This window comes from Homo sapiens, chromosome 7 (assembly GCF_000001405.40).
Source record: "Homo sapiens chromosome 7, GRCh38.p14 Primary Assembly".
In the NCBI taxonomy this organism is placed as follows: Eukaryota; Metazoa; Chordata; class Mammalia; order Primates; family Hominidae; genus Homo; species Homo sapiens.
Genome location: NC_000007.14, coordinates 40,438,553 through 40,456,776, shown reverse-complemented (window position 1 = coordinate 40,456,776; position 18,224 = coordinate 40,438,553). Strand labels below are relative to the sequence as shown.

Below are 18,224 nucleotides of genomic sequence, written 5' to 3'. Positions count from 1 at the left end.
TTTTAAAATAGCTATTCCTTTGCTTGGAACATCTTCCACCAGACATCTAGTTGGCTAGCTCCTCCTTTCCTTGGTTGAGTAGGCTCAAATTCAACTTCTTAATGCAACTACCTTGATTACCCTACCCCCATCACAGGCCACCCCACCCCACTCAACACTGACTCCCCTGATTCCCTCTTCCCTTGACCACTTTTTCCCATAATATTTATCACCTAACATATTTATTATGTTTATTACTCCATATCTGTCTGCCCTGCTAAAATATAAGCTTCACAAAGTCAAAGTATTTTAAATGTTTTGTTCACTGGTATAGCCCAAATGCTGACAACACATTCTTCAACTGACAAGCTCACAGACAAACAATATGAACAATTTCAGGTGTATGATATTGCAGACATTATTCTATGCATATACCTTATTCAATTATGTCTAAAATCACTTTTTAGTTGCAGCCAGGGGCGGTGGCTCATGCCTATAATCCCAGCACTTTTGGGAGGCCAAGGCGGGTGGATCACCTGAGGTCAAGAGTTGGAGACCAACCTGGCCAACATGGTGAAACCCCATCTCTACTAAAAATACAAAAATTATTCAGGCATGACGGTGGGTGCCTGTAATCCCAGCTACTCAGGAGGCTGAGGCACAAGAATCACTTGAACCCAGGAGGCAGAGGTTGCAGTGAGCCGAGATCATGCCACTACACTCCATCCTGGGCAATAGAGCAAGACTCCATCTCATAAATAAAAATAAATAAATAAATAAAATATAAATATAGTTGCTTCTTAAAAGCTATATGGCCTCTGAAAGAGCTGTTTGTCAGGAGAAAATTATGAAGAGTTGTCATTGCCTGTAAGTCATAATGTTCATATACACCGCCATCACTTTAAGTGCATTACTGGCACAACACATGTTAAGTTTAATTGCCATTTAAAATGGCATCCAGTATGATAGAAAATATGATAACTCAGTACTGAAATAAAAGATCTTTGCATATGCAGGAAGGTGCAGAAACAGAGAATCACTTGTAGCATAAGAACTACTGGAATCTAGCTTTTAGATAAAGGAAAAGGCAACATCTCTTGTGAAATGTGAGGTTTCACAATTTCTCAACAAATTCAGATCATCTGATCTTCCCTCTGCCAGCACAAATGTTAAATAAGTATTTGCACAAGAATTTGTTGCAAACAAGTTTTCTGAGATGACAAAAACTGGTCCATAATTAATATAGCCCCACTCCAGTTTTCTTTTCATTAGTGTTTGCCTCTTTTGTTTGTGTTTGTATATTTTTCCATCTTCTTACTTTAACTTAACAGTATCATTATATTTGAAGTGAATTTCAAATATGAATTGGACAGCATAGAGTTGGGTCATTTTTTTCTGACAACTTCTGTTAATTCATATATTTAGACCATTCACATTTAATGTTGTTGATATTTTTGAATGACTTAGATCAGTTTATTCTTTTTTCTGTTTATCCCTGTTTTGCTTTCTGGTATTCTTTAGAGTCATTACTATTACACTTACCTATTTTGATTTTGGCTATATTTTTGCATAGATGTTTAATGATAGATGTTTAATGACTGCTTAGGGAATCATAATGCATATACTTTTCGCATTGTAGTTAGAATCAAAATTTTACCACTTCAAGTGGAATATAGCAAACTTACTACAATATAGTCCCTTTACTCTCCCCATTTTATGTTGTATTTATCTGTATGTTAGATCTACATACACTGAAAATCCCATCAGACAGTATCTTAATGTTTGCTTTCACCCATCAAATATTTCAAAGAATTCACTAGGAAAAGAATAGACCATTATATTCACCCAGATATTTACTATTTACGTTACTTTTCCTTCATTTCTGATGTTTCCAGTTCCCTTCTGACAACATTTACCTTCTGTAAATGAAAAATTCCTGGAAAAATTATTTTAGAGGAAGTCAGCTGGCTACAAATTCCCTTAGTTTTCCTTTATACAGAACATCTTTATTTAACCTTCATTTCTTAAGGATATTTCTACTGGATATTGAAATCTAGGTTGGCATTCTTTCCATTCAGCCTTTTAAACATGTTGTGCCACTTCTTCCCTAGCATTAATTTCTGACAAAAAAATATGCAGTTAATCAAATCACTGTTTCCCCATGGATAATACATTTTTTCCCCCTCTGGGTGTTTTTCTGGATGATTTTTGTGTATCCACTGTGTTACAATTGCCTATAGTATTGAGTGCAGTAACATGTACATGCTGTACAGATTTATAGCCTAGGAGGAATAGGCTATCCCATATAGCCTATGTGTGTAGCAGGCTATACCATCTAGGTTTGTGTAAGTACACTCTATGATATTCACACACCACCACCAACTGACACATTTCTCAGGACATACACCTGTTCTTAAAGGACACATTATGTATTCATGCATAGATTTTTTTCAGTTTATCCCATTTATGGTTTGCTGAAATTACTAAATCTACGGGCATTTAACTTTTACCAAATTTGGTATATATACAATTGTTATTTCTTCAAATATTTTTCAGCATGTACACTTTCTCCCCTCATTCTGGGACTACAATGACATAAATATTGGACTTTTTGTTATTGTTGAATAGGTTCCTGAGGATCTGTTATTTCTTGTTTTGAGTAGGAAGGAGCTATCTTTTGTTCTCTCTCTTCTTCAGATTGAATAATTTCTATTGATCTATCTTTAAGTTCCTTGTCATCTTCATTGCACTATTGAGCTCAACGAGTGAGGTGTAATTTTTTTCTTGGTTATTATACTTTTAAGTTTTTAATTTTCCTTTTGGTTCTTCTTCATATCTTATATTTCTTTGCTAAATATTTCTATATCCCATTTATTAAACAGTGTTTGTGATGCTTGTTAGAGCGTTGTTATAATAGCTATGTAAACATCTTTGTAAGTTAATTCCAACATCTGTGTCATCTTCGCGTTGGCATTGATGGCCTGTTCTCATGCAAGTTCTGGTTCTTCATATGCTCAGTAATAATGGATTGTATCCTGGACATTTTGAACATTATATTATGAGCCACTGGGTCTTGTTTAAATTCTAAGGAGAATTTTTACTCTTGCTGGTTTAGCAGACAATTGACCTGGTTACATCCAGGCTGCCAGTTCTTACCCACCTTCTGTGGGCTTTGATTCTCATTTTGATTAAGGTTTCAAAGCCTTTGCAGTGTTATTTGAATCTGACTAGTAAGTGCCAAACCTAATGGTCATATGACAACCTGGGCAGTTGTCTATTTACTAATTCAGTTCCTATCATCTTTGGTATGCTGATTAGGATCAAATTAGTGCATATGCAAGTAAGGGGTGATCCCAAGAGTTCATAAACAACATCAAGGATTGCTTTGTCAAGATCTTCTCTCTGCAATCTCTCTAGCATTTTCCAGTTGCCTGGGGCTCCTGCTTTAGTTATCCCACTCCCCAGCATGGTTCCAGGGCAGAGGCCATGCAACAGGAGAATGGAGGGGGAAAAGGAAAGGAGATTCACTCCTTTCTTTGGGATCACAGCTCAGCAATGAAGAAAGTTCTTCTTTCTCAGAGTTGGCTCCTGCTCATCTGCTGTTTCCAATACAGGATTACTTGGGGTCTGGGGCATAAGAAAATGGAAAGGAGGGGAAAACAAACTATTTCCACACTCTCTCTGACATTACAGCTCACTTTTTCATGTTCTTTGCACCGGGAATAAAGAGCATTTCCTGGATATCTGCTGCACTGCCTGGTGCTCACTTCCAGGTTTCAGGTTCAACTATACTCAAGTGAAGGAATAACTAGAGGGAAAAGCTGGTTAAGTTGACTGCCAGTTAGAGGTACTTCAAATTCAGGTGTTCTCCCCTAAATCTCTTACTATTTACTTTTCAAAGTCTTTTAATACATGCTTCATGGATTCATGCAATTCTGTCCAGGTATGATCACCGTGCTCGGGGTAAGTGGGAAAAGTGTATTTACTCTCTCCTCCTCAGAACCAGAATCTTCATATCTAATTTTCATAGATGTCATTTATTAAGTGCACATGAGCAAGGCCTATTCTAAGTGCTTCACTTCTCTAACACTTTCCAAACCCCTAAGTTGTATACAAGTATAATTACGTATTATAATCTTCATTTTATACATAGGAAAACAGATGCTTAGAAAAGATTAAGGACCGTGACAGAGTTCACCTACCAATAAGACTTACAGTAGGCCTTAAACATTATACCTTGGATATATTATATTTTGGAGCAGGTGGTCTAAAAACTTGCTCCAAAATCACCTACAGTCCTTCTTAAAACTGAAGTTTCCTCTACCTCACCCCAGACATACTAAAGTAAAATGTTCGGGAATGGGGCTAAAGGACATTCCTATGCATACTACATTGAGAACCAATGTATAGTCTCTCCAGTAAAAGAAGCCTTCAGTCTACATTACTTTCAAAAGGATGTCAATATTCAATATTTCATATAGGAATACCCATTTGGGTGGCATCCATCAGCTTAAAATAGCTTACATATGCTCACTTTCATACTTTGCTGTATCATGGTAAGGAACATTAAGTAGGACTTGTTATGAACAAGGTTCACTTTATACACAACAAGATTTTCTGGAACCTCAGACTTGAACCCAATATTCTTGCTCCCACTCCAACTCCTTACAGTGAAAGCTCACTAATATAGCTCCTCCCCAAGAATTATCAATCAACCACTATATCAATTCTATTTTGGGAAGAGACTAGGCATAAGTCAATTCCATTCATTTGTCACAGACAGTGCTGCCACATTTCTCACCAGGAACTAAAGTTGTCCCATCTTTCCTGATGGAGTGTACTTGACGAAAGAACAGTTTTGAGGGGCTCACTGTGAAGAACTGGGAACCCCATCTTCTATAAGCCCAGTTTGAATAACAAGGCTCTGAGTAATAAATAAATATGAGTAAAAAAAAATGCTTAGAAGACATCCACACGCTACACATAACTGGGAAGGGAAGAAAACCTTGCATCAGAATGGAGGAACAGATGATTTTTCTTAGGTAAGAAGGTGTTTAGGACAAGTTTACATGTGAGGGCATAATTACAAAGATTTGAAAAAGTCAATCAGATTGCAGCATTCACGCAGGATGCTTAGCTAATAATGTAAATAACTCAAGAATCCCGTACACATAAATCTTCTGAGAATCTCAAAGAGTTTTACAGACATTGGATTAATGGCTCATAACAGGGATTATCATTCCTAACTCTCATATGAGAAAATCAAGGTCAAGTGTGCCATTCCTAAGGCCCTCTGATAGTCTCCTTTATAAGCAATGTCTTATAACACACCATAACAATAAGTCATATTTCAGTACTAAAACTTCTGGCAAATATTCTGCTTTGAAATAAGAACCTTTGTTGAAAACTGTTCTTATGGATATTTATGAGGAAGTTCAAAAGTGTTAACTTGATCGGCAGTAATGAATCAAAAATACAAAGAATTCAGTACAGTTATTTTCAAAACTAAAGAGTATGTCAAACAGTAATTTTCACTGCCAGGTCCTCCCACCCCCAACCCCACGACTTTCTGGAGAAAGAAAACTCCAAAACATATGGCCCAGGAAGAAAATCTGTACTCGTTTATAGCAATGAACTGGCTTATACATCTCTGCAGTTAGAGTACGCAAATGACTTCACAGGCAACAGCTTCCGTATGTTTCATATTTTTAACATTGACCGTTCATAATAAAGATTCTTTGATCCCAGATCAAATGTTTGAATCGATTTTCCCTACACTTACTCAGAGTCACCATTTAAAAGGCTCCCCTCTTTCCCACCTCAGATGTTTCAGCCCTTCCTGCAATCAGAACTATCTCCATTTGTCAGCTTCTCCCTGGTCCTTCCCAACCCTTTGCTGTGGTTTTTAGCTCTGCTCCCTACCTTCTCATACAAAAGAGGCACAGTAATAAGTAATTTCTGTACATAATAAGTTAACTACAGTAAATGAGATTCAGGATTTCATAGGCATCTCTTTTTTTTTTTGAGACAGAGTCTCCCTCTGTCACCTAGGCTTGAGTGCAGTGGCGCAATCTCGGCTCACTGCAACCTCCGCCTCCCGGGTTCAAGCAATTCTCCTGCCTCAGCCGAGTAGCTGGGACTACAGGCGCATGGCTGCCACACCTGGCTAATTGTTTGTATTTATTAGTAGAGACAGGGTTTCACCTTGTTGCTCAGGCTGGTCGAGAACTCCTGAGCTCAGGCAATCTGCCCACCTCGGCCTCTCAAAGTGCTGGGATTGCAGGCATGAGCCACTGCGCCTGGCCCTCATAGTCATCTTTAATAACACTGAAAGCTCATGGTAAAATTTAGTATAAAAGCTGATTGTCTCTCAAAAAAAAAAAAAGAAAAAAATCCTTAACAGGTAAGGCCTTTGGATATATTTAAGAAAAATAAAAATAAAAATGAAATTCTATTACTTGGATTAAAACCAGAAAAAATGAACAGATACCTAAGTTCTAAAATTAAAACAAAACACCAAAGTCTTGATAACTAATATAAACATCAAGTAAAGAAAAAAAAAGTCTAGTAGGCCGGGTGCAGTGGTTCACGCCTGTAATTCTAGAACTTTGGGAGGCCAAGGTGGGCAGGTCGCTTGAGGTCAGGAGTTCGAGACCACCCTGGCCAGCATAGTGAAACCACATCTCTACTAAAAATACAAAAATAGCCAGGCATGGTGGCACGCACCTGTCATCCCAGCTCCTCTGGAGGCTGAGGCAGGAGAATCGCTTGGAGCAAGGAGGCAGAGGTTGCAGTGATCCAAGATGGCGAAGTTTAGTAAATGCTACAAGTTTAGAATATCCCTAAGAATAAATTATTTTAAATGATTCCAAGGTCTTTATTTTAAGGCCTTGTTGAGAAGGAACAATTTAATATAATCTTAATTCCTAAAACCTTGAAACATAAATTCTTCAGAAAGGTACTCATTAAATAAAGGTTAAGTTGAAAAAAAGTTTTAAAATTTCCAGTAGTAAATAAAATAAATATGGGAGTAGCTTAACTATATATGGTTCCAATTAACCTGATATAGTAAAAGAGAAGGAGGGAGAGAACGAAAGGAAGAAAGGAAGGCAGGAAGGGAAGGAGGGAGGTGAAAAAAAGAAAAAAATACCAGTGTTAAAGGTCCCTCTAAAAATGATTCCCCCATTTTGTTTGGAATGGTAGGCAGGTCAAGTTTTAGGACAATTTAAGCTACTACGATTCTTCACTTTAAAATACAGCCAAATACCACAAAAAACACAGAATGCTAATTTGGACTCTGCCTTATCCTTTATGCGCATGAATATCCTATACTTTTAGTTGCTAACACAGGGGGCCTAAGTTGGTTGTGACCTGGGCAAAACTGAACTTTCCCTGGCTTTGTACAAAATCATCGACCAATCCCAATAATTATAGATTACCTTGCAGACGGTGGCAAACTGCTGGTTATTTCCTGCTCCAACTACAATATAGCCATCCTTGGTTTTAAAAGCCTAAAAGAAATAAATACACAGGTAAATATTATTTATATGTTGACAAGACCACAAAAGTTTAATTTCTAAAATATCTATATAGAAAGCTTGTTCTAAAGCAATGTTATTAATTCAATATCGATTAATTTGTATCTTTTTCATATATGTATACATATATATCTTCCACAAAAGATATAATATATATATACACACTAACTAAATGTCAAACAGTCAATAGCCACATGTGGCTAGTGGCTATTGTATTAGCCAGCACAGACGGAATATTTCCATCATCACAGAATAGATCTCTCTCTCTCTCTCTTTCTCTCTCTCTCTCTCTCTCTCTATATATATATACACACACACACACACACACACACACATATATACACACACACACACATATGTGTCTATGTATGTATGTATGTATATATGAGTGTGTGTGTGTGTATGTATTTGGTGACAGGGTCTGTCTCTGTCACCCAGGCTCCCAGGATGGAATGCAATGGCACGATCTCAGCTTACTGCTCCACCTCCCAGGTTTAAGCAATCCTCCTGCCCCAGCCTCCTGTGTATCTGGGACTACAGGTGCATGGCATCATGCCCAGCTAATTTTGTACTTTTTGTAGAAATGGGGTCTCACTATGTTGCCCAGGCAGGTCTTAAACCCCTGGGCTCGAGATCCGCTTACCTCAGCCTCCCAAAGTGCCGGGATTACAGGCATGAGCCACCATGCCTGGCCCTTTTTCTTTTATATTTGGATAGTTGGTTTCATTTAGATGGTTCTAAGCATTTCCTAACTCTTCCACTGTTACAACATTTGTCAAAAAAACAAAAAAGAGTGATTCAAAAAAATAAAGGAAATCCATTATAATGTACAAAATAAAATACTCTATTCATTATGGTTTGGAACAATTAAGAATTTTTTTGTTTTATTTTCATTTTTTCCCTGTAGGGCAAAAAGCATTATAAGGCAAAAAGCATTATGTTTCTACAAAGTGTAAGAAGCATAGATAGAAAGAAGGGAGAAGCAAAGGAAGGAGAAGGAAGGAAGGAAGGAAGGGAGGGAGGGAGGGAGGGAGGGAGGGAGGGAACTGGGAGAGGGAAGGAAAGTGACCTCATGGAGCTACATTGCTTCTTTCAAGAACTCAAATGTAATCTTTTGGGCACTCTTTAATTTTAGTGGCAAAAATGGACACATCAGTATCTCTCTGGACCTCATGTGGCTTTATGTACCTAAAAATGTCTGTCCTTTTTTGGTGACAGGTTCCTGTGGACAGCGATGGACACTCTAACCACCCACAGTCCTAGCCCATTGGAGGATGTTTTAGCACTTCTTTCTCCACATATGATCACAGTGAAATTGGAGGAACCAAATTTTACCCTCAGAAGGCCTCATTCCTACTTCCCCAAAGTAAATTAGCTATTTGAATTTTCATCCTTTCTACATAAAAACTGTGCTGTATCTCCACCTACTTTTTCTTCACTTCCTCCTCCCTTTAAGAAAAAAGACTGTTTTCCTTGACTGGACTTACTCCTGGGCTGATCACCTCCACCTGCATCCTCCAGAACTTGCTTAATCATCTGTAAGTTCTTCATTTCCACTGAATCCTTCTCTTCTGCCTACATATAGGCTCAGTTCTCCATAAAAATACCATTAACAACAACTGAAGAGAATTTTGATCAATCCCAACACCCCTTTCAAGGTATCTTGAATGTTCCTTTGTTCCCTTCTTCTATAATGACATAAGAGCGCCACCTGCCCTCACTTCCCCACCAAGACCACATTCTAGTGACCTCTGTCATCGGGATACTTACTATCACACTGAACTATACTTTTTGAACCCTCTGTATTATTTGGTACTGTTAACCATTCCCTCCTCCATGAAAGTCTCTTATCTTCAGGCTCTGTCCAAGTTCATCTCCTAGCTCTCTGTTTTACACATACCCTTTCTGCAGGATTTTCTTCTCCTGAGCCTTCAGCATTCCTTAAGCATCTGTCTTTGGTCTTTCACTTCACTTGCTTCTTACATTAGCCACTAGCCGCATGTGATCATTAAATTTAAATAAACTGAAATTAGCCAGTCACTAAAGGCCAAATATTGTGATTCTATTTATAAGAAATGTCTAAAATAGGCAAATCCATCAAGACAGAAAAAAACACTAGTGGCTGCATAAAGCAGTGGAAGCTGGGGGAAGATGGGGAGTGATTGTTAATGAATACTGGGTTTCTTGTCAGGGTAATGAAAATGTTCCAAAATTGACTGATGGTTGCACAACTCTGAATACACTAAAAATCACTGAATTGTGCACTATAAATGGGTGAATTATATGGTACATGAATTACATTCCAATAAACCTGTTATTAACAATTAACAATTCAGATCCATAGTCACACTAGCTAAATATCAAGCATTCAATAGCCACGTGTGGCTAGTGGCTACTGTATTAGCCAGCACAGACACAGAGTACTTCCATCATAACATAAAGTTATTTTATACAGTGCTGGTAGAGTGGAACTGGGAGATTGTATTGGTCATGTCTTAATTTCAGTCTTCATCATCCTAACATGATATCTGAAGAATGTTAGGCAATTAATAAATAGTTGGTAAATGCTAATGAATCAACCAAATGATTGCTTCCAGATAGCACAATGGTAACTAAAATAGATCCCAAGAAATACATTATAAAAAGGTTTTATTCTATTTACATTGTTGCTTGATTTGGTAAGGAATGCTATTAAGGAGATATCACATAAACTCTTTCAAACATTCTCCCTTGTCCATGAGGGCAAAAGTAAAGTTAGTGTCATAGACAATGCATTAGTGTTTCTCAACTACAGAAAGAAAATCTGCAACAAAGCTGTAGGTGAGGTACAAAAGATTTTGAGCTGAAGTATTGCAAGGAACCATTGACAACTGTGAAGTTACACAGGTTGTTTGCTTGCTTTTTTGTGGAGAAGGGTGAGATGGGGGGCGAATAAGTAAATGTGAAGTAACAATCTGTGTTGGAATATATAATGTGAAGAAAGGCTTGCCAAATTTTGGATCAGTGATATGTCCAATAAGTTTATATTTTCTGGGCTGTTCATTTCCTTTTAATAAGTAAAGAAATGCATATTTTTCCCTGCAGCCGCCAACATATATTTAAATATATCTTTTATCAATATAAAAGTTTAAAATTTTTAAGAAGATTCTAGATAGCTGAACATGCAGAGGTTCCTGAAGGATGGCATGCCCTGGGAGGAAATGGAAGCTCCATACCCCTCCCTATACCTTACAATACACATCTCTTCATCTGTACCCTTGTTAATATCCTTTAAAACAAACCAGTAAACATAATAATTTTATGCAAAGGTAACTAGTCAATGATCATTGAAAAGTGAAGAACTCATGGCAACTGAGCCTCAGAATATAATCAGCCTAAAGATTATCAAATAGATTTTATAAAGATTCAGGTAAGATTAGGAGTTCTTTTTAATAATTATTTGTTCCCTGTTACTGCTACAGTATTTATTTAATAAACATCTTAAATAAGAACTTTAAAAAATAATATGTTATTGAGGATTTTTGCATAGATGTTCATCATGGATATTGGTCTAAAATTCTCTTTTTTTGTTGTGTCTCTGCCAAGCTTTGGTATCAGGATGATGCTGGCCTCATAAAATGAGTTAGGGAGGATTCCCTCTTTTTCAATTGTTTGGAATACTTTCAGAAGGAATGGTACCAGTTCCTCTTTGTACCTGTGGTAGAATTTGGCTGTGAATCCGCCTGATCCTAGACTTTTTTGGTTGGTAGACTATTAATTATTGCCTCAATTTCGGAGCCTGATATTGGTCTATTCAGGGATTCAACTTCTTCCTGGTTTAGTCTTGGGAGGGTGTATGTGTCCAGGAATTTATCCATTTCTACTAGATTTTCTAGTTTACTTGCATACAGGTGTTTATAGTATTCTCTGATGGTAGTTTGTATTTCTGTGGGATCAGTGGTGATATCCCCTTTATCATTTTTTATTGCGTCTATTTGATTCTTCTCTTTTTTCTTCTTTATTAGTCTTGCTAGCGGTCTATCTATTTTGTTGATCTTTTCAAAAAGCTAGCTCCTGAATTCATTGATTTTTTTAAGGGTTTTTTGTGTCTCTATCTCCTTCAGTTCTGCTCTGATCTTAGTTATTTCTTGCCTTCTGCACCAAATCAAGCAGCACTTCAAAAAGCTTATCCACCATGATCAAGTTGGCTTCATCCCTGGGATGCAAGGCTGGTTCAACATATGCAAATCAATAAACATAATCCATCACATAAAGAGAAGCAAAGACAAAAACCACATGATTACCTCCATAGATGCAGAAAAGGCTTTCGACAAAATTCAACAGCGCTTCATGCTAAAAACTCTCAATAAACGAGGTATTGGTGGGATGTATCTCAAAATAATAAGAGGTATTGATGACAAATCCACAGCCAATGTCATACTGAATGGGTAAAAACTGGAAGCATTCCCTTTGAAAACTGGCACAAGACAAGGATGCCCTCTCTCACCACTCCTATTCAACATAGTGTTGGAAGTTCTGGCCAGGGCAATCAGGCAAGAGAAAGAAATAAAGGGTACTCAATTAGGAAAAGAGGAAGTCAAATTGTCCCTGTTTGCAGATGACATGATTGTATATTTAGAAAACCCCATCGTCTCAGCCCAAAATCTCCTTAAGCTGATAAGAAACTTCAGTAAAGTCTCAGGATACAAAATCAATGTGCAAAAATTACAAGCATTCTTATACACCAATAACAGACAAACAGAGAGCCAAATCACGAGTGAACACCCATTCACAATTGCTTCAAAGAGAATAAAATGCCTAGGAATCCAACTTACAAGGGATGTGAAGGACCTCTTCAAGGAGAACTACAAACCACTGCTCAACGAAATAAAAGAGAACACAAACAAATGGAAGAACATTCCACGCTCATGGATAGGAAGAATCGATAACATGAAAATGGCCATACTGCCCAAGGTAATTTACAAATTCAATGCCATCCCCATCAAGCTACCAATGACTTTCTTCACAGAATTGGAAAAAACTACTTTAAAGTTCATATGGAACCAAAAAAGAGCCCGCATTGCCAAGATAATCCTAAGCCAAAAGAACAAAGCTGGAGGCATCACGCTACCTGACTTCAAACTACACTACAAGGCTACAGTAACCAAAACAGCATGGTACTGGTACCAAAACAGAGATATAGACCAATGGAACAGAACAGAGCCCTCAGAAATAATACCACAAATCTACAACCATCTGATCTTTGACAAGCCTGACAAAAACAAGAAATGGGGAAAGGATTCCCTATTTAATAAATGGTGCTGGGAAAACTGGCTAGCCATATGTAGAAAGCTGAAACTGGGTCCCTTCCTTACACCTTATACAAAAATTAATTCAAGATGGATTAAAGACTTAAATGTTAGACCTAAAACCATAAAAACCCTAGAAGAAAACATAGGCAATACCATTCAGGACATAGGCAAGGGCAAGGATTTCATGACTAAAACATTAAAAGCAATGGCAACAAAAACCAAAACTGACAAATGGGATCTAATTAAACTAAAGAGCTTCTGCACAGCAAAAGAAACTACCATCAGAGTGAACAGGCAACCTACACAATGGGAGAAAATTTTTGCAATCTACCCATCACACAAATGGCTAATATCCAGAATCTACAAAGAACTTAAACAAATTTACAAGAAAAAATCAAACACCCCATCAAAAAGTGGGCAAAGGATATGAACAGACACTTCTCAAAAGAAGATATTTATGCAGCCAACAGACACATGAAAAAATGCTCATCATCACTGGCCATCAGAGAAATGCAAATCAAAATCACAATGAGATACCATCTCACACCAGTTAGAATGGTGATCATTAAAAAGTTAGGAAACAACAGGTGCTGGAGTGGATGTGGAGAAATAGGAGCACTTTTACACTGTTGGTGGGACTGTAAACTAGTTCAACCATTGTGGAAGACAGGGTGGTGATTCCTCAGGGATCTCAAACTAGAAATACCATTTGACCCAGCCATCCCATTACTGGGTATATACCTAAAGGATTATAAATCATACTGCTATAAAGACACGTGCACACGTATGTTTACTGCGGCACTATTCACAATAGCAAAGACTTGGAACTAACCCAAATGTCCATCAATGATAGACTGGATTAAGAAAATGTGGCCCATATACACCATGGAATACTATGCAGCCATAAAAAAGGATGAGTTCATGTCCTTTGTAGGGACATGGATGAAGCTGGAAACCATCACTCTGAGCAAACTATCACAAGGACAGAAAACCAAACACTGCATGTTCTCACTCATAGGTGGTAATTGAACAATGAGAACACTTGGACATTGGATGGAGAGCATCACACACTGGGGCCTGTCATGGTGTGGGGGGAAGGGGGAGGGATAGCATTAGGAGATATACCTAATGTAAATGACGAGTTAATGGGTGCAGCACACAAACATGGCACATGTATACACATGTAACAAACCTGCACGTTGTAAACATGTACCCTGGAACTTAAAGTATAATTTTTAAAAATGAGCTTTTTATAAGAATTTGGGACTTTTTAAGCTTTTTAACAAGGTTTGGAAACTACCAAATTAAGCCATTTTGCAAGTCCCAACTCCCAGGTAAAGTATATGAGCTAGATTACCATCAACAACTTTTCTAGTAAAGAAGGCATTAAATGGTCCTATGTAAAGACAAAAATAAATAAATAAAACATAATATGTTATCACTGTAGAAAATTGGGGAAGTACAGAAAAATATAAGACGGAAAAAAAAACTGCATGATATCATCACCCAGAAGAAGCAACTATTAAGTAGCATTCTTCTTTCTAGTTTCTTTGTATGTGTTTTTACATTATTAAGGAAACTACTTTTGAGAGAAATATGACAGAAAAATTATTGGTGAGTGAAATCTAACCTAACTGACTCCATCTTGTTTCTAATTTCACAAGCTAACTGACTTCTTTAACTTTACAGTCCCTTCCAAGAGCCCTCCTTGCTCAGGGATCAAAACTGCCTTTTAAGAGTAATGAAAGAATACAATATTAGCATTAGAGAAGGGACTTGAATTCTGCTAAGATATGGCTTAATGAAATGATAACCAGCATAGTTCCCTTGCTTACCTTTCTATAAGGATTTACTATTTCAGAAGTCAAAAGACGTGTGACTTCCTAAGTGCTCCTATAGATAACATCACTATCGTCAAAACCTCCTAAGATTGGTCTTTGAAATATTTTTCAGACTTTGACATTCTGGCGAATGACTTAACTCTACCCAGACCCATGAGTCATATGAAGGAAGTAATACAACCAGTCCTGAGACCCCCCACCCAGAAACTCACTCAGAGTACTAAGATAATTTGGACACTGCTAAGATTTCATCCCCAACCAATCAGCAGCACCAAATCCCTCTCCCTCAGCCTGCCAAATTACTCTTTAAATCACTAAACTCCAAGCTGTTTGGGAGGCTGACTTGAGAAATGTCTCCCATACTTCCAAACTCCCATACTCCCATACTTCCCACACTTTGCTGGCCCTGTGATTATTAAACTCTTTCTCTACTGTAACACTGCTGTTTCAGCAAATTGGCTCCATCTCTGCAACAGGCAAGAAGAACTGGTCATGCAGTTACATGAATATCTTACTATACATGAATTTCTGGACTGCATTTTTTTAACATCCTATCACAAGCATTTTTAAATAGCATTGTTTTTAATGACACAAAATATCTTTTTCAAAATTTGCTTCAACATTCTAAGTTCATTTAAACTGGAGGGGTTTTTTTAGTTTGTTTTGTATTCAAATCAAGCCCTATTTCATAGTTAATATCACAAATAAAAAATTATTAAATTTCATACTGAAACTCTGAAGAAAATGTCTGGTCCAACTAAGATCCTTAAAAAGCCAACCTTACCCCAGTAAGGCCTGGAGGATAAAATAGCAAAATGAATCCCACCCAAGACATTTATTAATAATTAACCTGTGTGATATTAGACAATTTACATAATTTAAGAGCCTCAGTTTTGACATCTCTAAAATAGGAATCATCAGTACTTACCTTTAAAATTATTTTGACTAAGTTCATAAAGTACATTGATTCATGTACTTGGCAAATATTTGTTGATATAACTCACTATGTGCTAGGCTCTGGGTACAATGGGTAGAAAATGACAAGACAAATGAGACATACATTCTAATAAAGTAGCAGACACTAATCAAACATTCACATAAGTAATTACAAACAGTGACAGGCACTGGAAAAGAAAAGTACAAAACCCAGTGAGATCTTTTTTTTTTTTAAAGACAGCATCTCTCTCTGTCACCCAGGCTGGAGTAAACTGGCATAATCCTAGCTCACTGCAGTCTCAAACTGCTAGGTTTAAGAGATCCTCCTCACATAGCCTCCTGAGTCGCTGGGACTACTCAGATGGAGTCTCACTGTGTTGCACAGGCTGGTCTCAAAATCCTGGCTTCAAGCAATCCTCCAACCTCAGCCCCCCAAACAATGAGATCTTAGGAGAGGTGGACATAATGTTGTCTTGGTTGGGAGCGCTGAAGCCAGGAAAGAGTCCCTAGAAAAGTGATCCTAGAAAAGTCCCTAGAAATAGATTGAGATGGTAAAATTTACTGACTTGGTAAATATCATGAATATCATGGTTGAGAGTTGAAATCTAAGGGGGAAAAAGGTGTCATGATGATGCTTAAGTTTCTAAGGAGCTTTTGAGATAGTCCAGTGACAAGTTCACATGAGTAAGACTTGGGTACCAGGTGAAAGTCTGAACTGTGGATAAAAACTTGGCTGGGTGCAATGGCTCATTCCTGTAATCCTGGCACTTTGGGAGGCCAAGGCAGGTGGATCACTTAAGTCCAGGAGTTTGAGACCAGCCTGGCCAACATTAGCGAAACCCCGTCTCTACTAAAAATACAAAAATTAGCCAGGCGTAGTGGTGCATGCCTGTAGTCCCAGCTACTTGGGAGGCTGAGGCAGAAGAATCACTTCAACCCGGGAAGCAGAGGTTGCAGTGAACTGAGATCAGGCCACTGCACTCCAGCCTGGGCAACAGAGCAGGAACCAGTCTTAAAAAAAAAAAAAAAAAAAAAAAAAAAAAAAACACACACACACAGACAAAAAACTTGACTCATTTGCTTATTATCTATAATTGAAGTCATCACATGGACCAAATCATTTAGGAAGAAAGTTCACACTGCAGAGTAGGAAAAAAAGGGAGTTAAGTGAGGAGTCTGAAGGCCTCTCCCATTTGAAATCCAGGCAGAAGTACTCAGAGCGTAAGATGAGGACTGAAGAATGCCTACAAAGTAGACTTCCATTACATCAGCAAGAGGTGTCTGGTGTCATGATGCGAACAGAATGCAGTTTGACATGAATCACGGACTCCATAACTGTTAAGGAAAGGGAGCAAGCACACACAGACATCTGTTTGAGCAGTCTGGCTGTGAAGCGCAGGGATGAGCACGGACTGAAAGCACAGCATGAGCATGGCTGCAGATGGAGTTCCCATGTCGAGGAGGACTCAGGAAGTTCCCACTGGATGCTTCTACCTTCTTATTAACTGAGAGAAGATTGGGGAGTTATGAGAATGAAAGACTAAAAAAGAGTAGAGAAGTTCTGACATATCACTGAAGACAGTGGCGTAGCACCGGGACCAGTTAACACAACTGGAATACTGACATGTTGAGAGCCCAACTGAGTGACTTTCTCTATCATCTCTCAGCTATCCAGACATAGACTAAAGTATATTTACATTCACTAGCTTTAGGATGTTGCCAGATGGATATGACAAAAAGATATATGTGTAGGAAAATCCGCCAGAATGTTACTGAGCAATGAGCCACAGACTAGCTGCATAAGAAAGAAAGTGGTAAAGATAGGAGATTATGGCTAGGCATGGGGAGGTGTCTCAGTGGGTCAGAAGTCCTGATGAGGTGTAGGAGTAGTCACGATGGGAGTAGCTGAATAAGTAAGGTGAAAGAACAAGAGACGATGGATGGTTAGAATGTAGAATGCTTCAATCAGTGATTAAAGGAGTGAGGCAGGTTCGGGTTATGCCTAGAGATCCACAGTGTGAAGTACATAAAATAGTTGCTGCTATGAGACAGCAGCAACTCTCTCTCTCTCTCTCTATCCATATATATATATATATATATATATATATATATATATATATATATATACACCATATATATACCATATATATATATACCATATTATATATACACACACACAATTTCTACATATATACTTTCTATATATACAGTAGTATATTATAGTATATTATAATTATTATATAATTACTACTGTACTTGGTCCCACAAGAAAGGAACTCCTCAGTGAATTCTAAGCCCTTAGGTCTTGACTCCCAGGCCTTCACTGGCCCTGCAAATCACTCCTCCTTCTCTTCTCCTCATTCTGTTGGTTGCCTCACTCTAACAGAAAGCAAACCAGGTGATAACATGCCGTGCACACACACCACTACCAGATTCTTTATCACAGGGAGAGCTCAAATCATACGCAGCGAATTGGGCTGTAAACAGTCAGGACTGTCTCCTGTAAGAAATTCAAGAAACAATTGCTTCTGAATGAAATGATGTGGGGAGACAGCAGCAAGGGCAAGTGTCTAGAATTTTTAAAGGACAAGGTCAAAACCAAGCATTGCCTCACAGGAGACCAGATTGTATTACTCCCG

General features: G+C 38.0%; 1 protein-coding gene across 18 annotated transcripts in view; it reads right to left on the bottom strand.

The window, feature by feature from the left end:
• The window catches only part of SUGCT (succinyl-CoA:glutarate-CoA transferase), a 903,812-nt gene that overhangs the window by 582,040 nt on the left and 303,548 nt on the right, over positions 1-18,224 (bottom strand). For all 18 annotated transcript variants that reach the window (XR_007060157.1, XR_007060158.1, XR_007060156.1 and 15 more), the window contains one exon: positions 7,419-7,490. Coding sequence is in view for 15 of the 18 variants with exons in the window: in XM_047420840.1 (XP_047276796.1) it covers positions 7,419-7,490 (72 nt within the window). In the remaining 3 variants the exon portion in view is untranslated. The remainder of the gene's footprint in view (positions 1-7,418; positions 7,491-18,224) is intronic.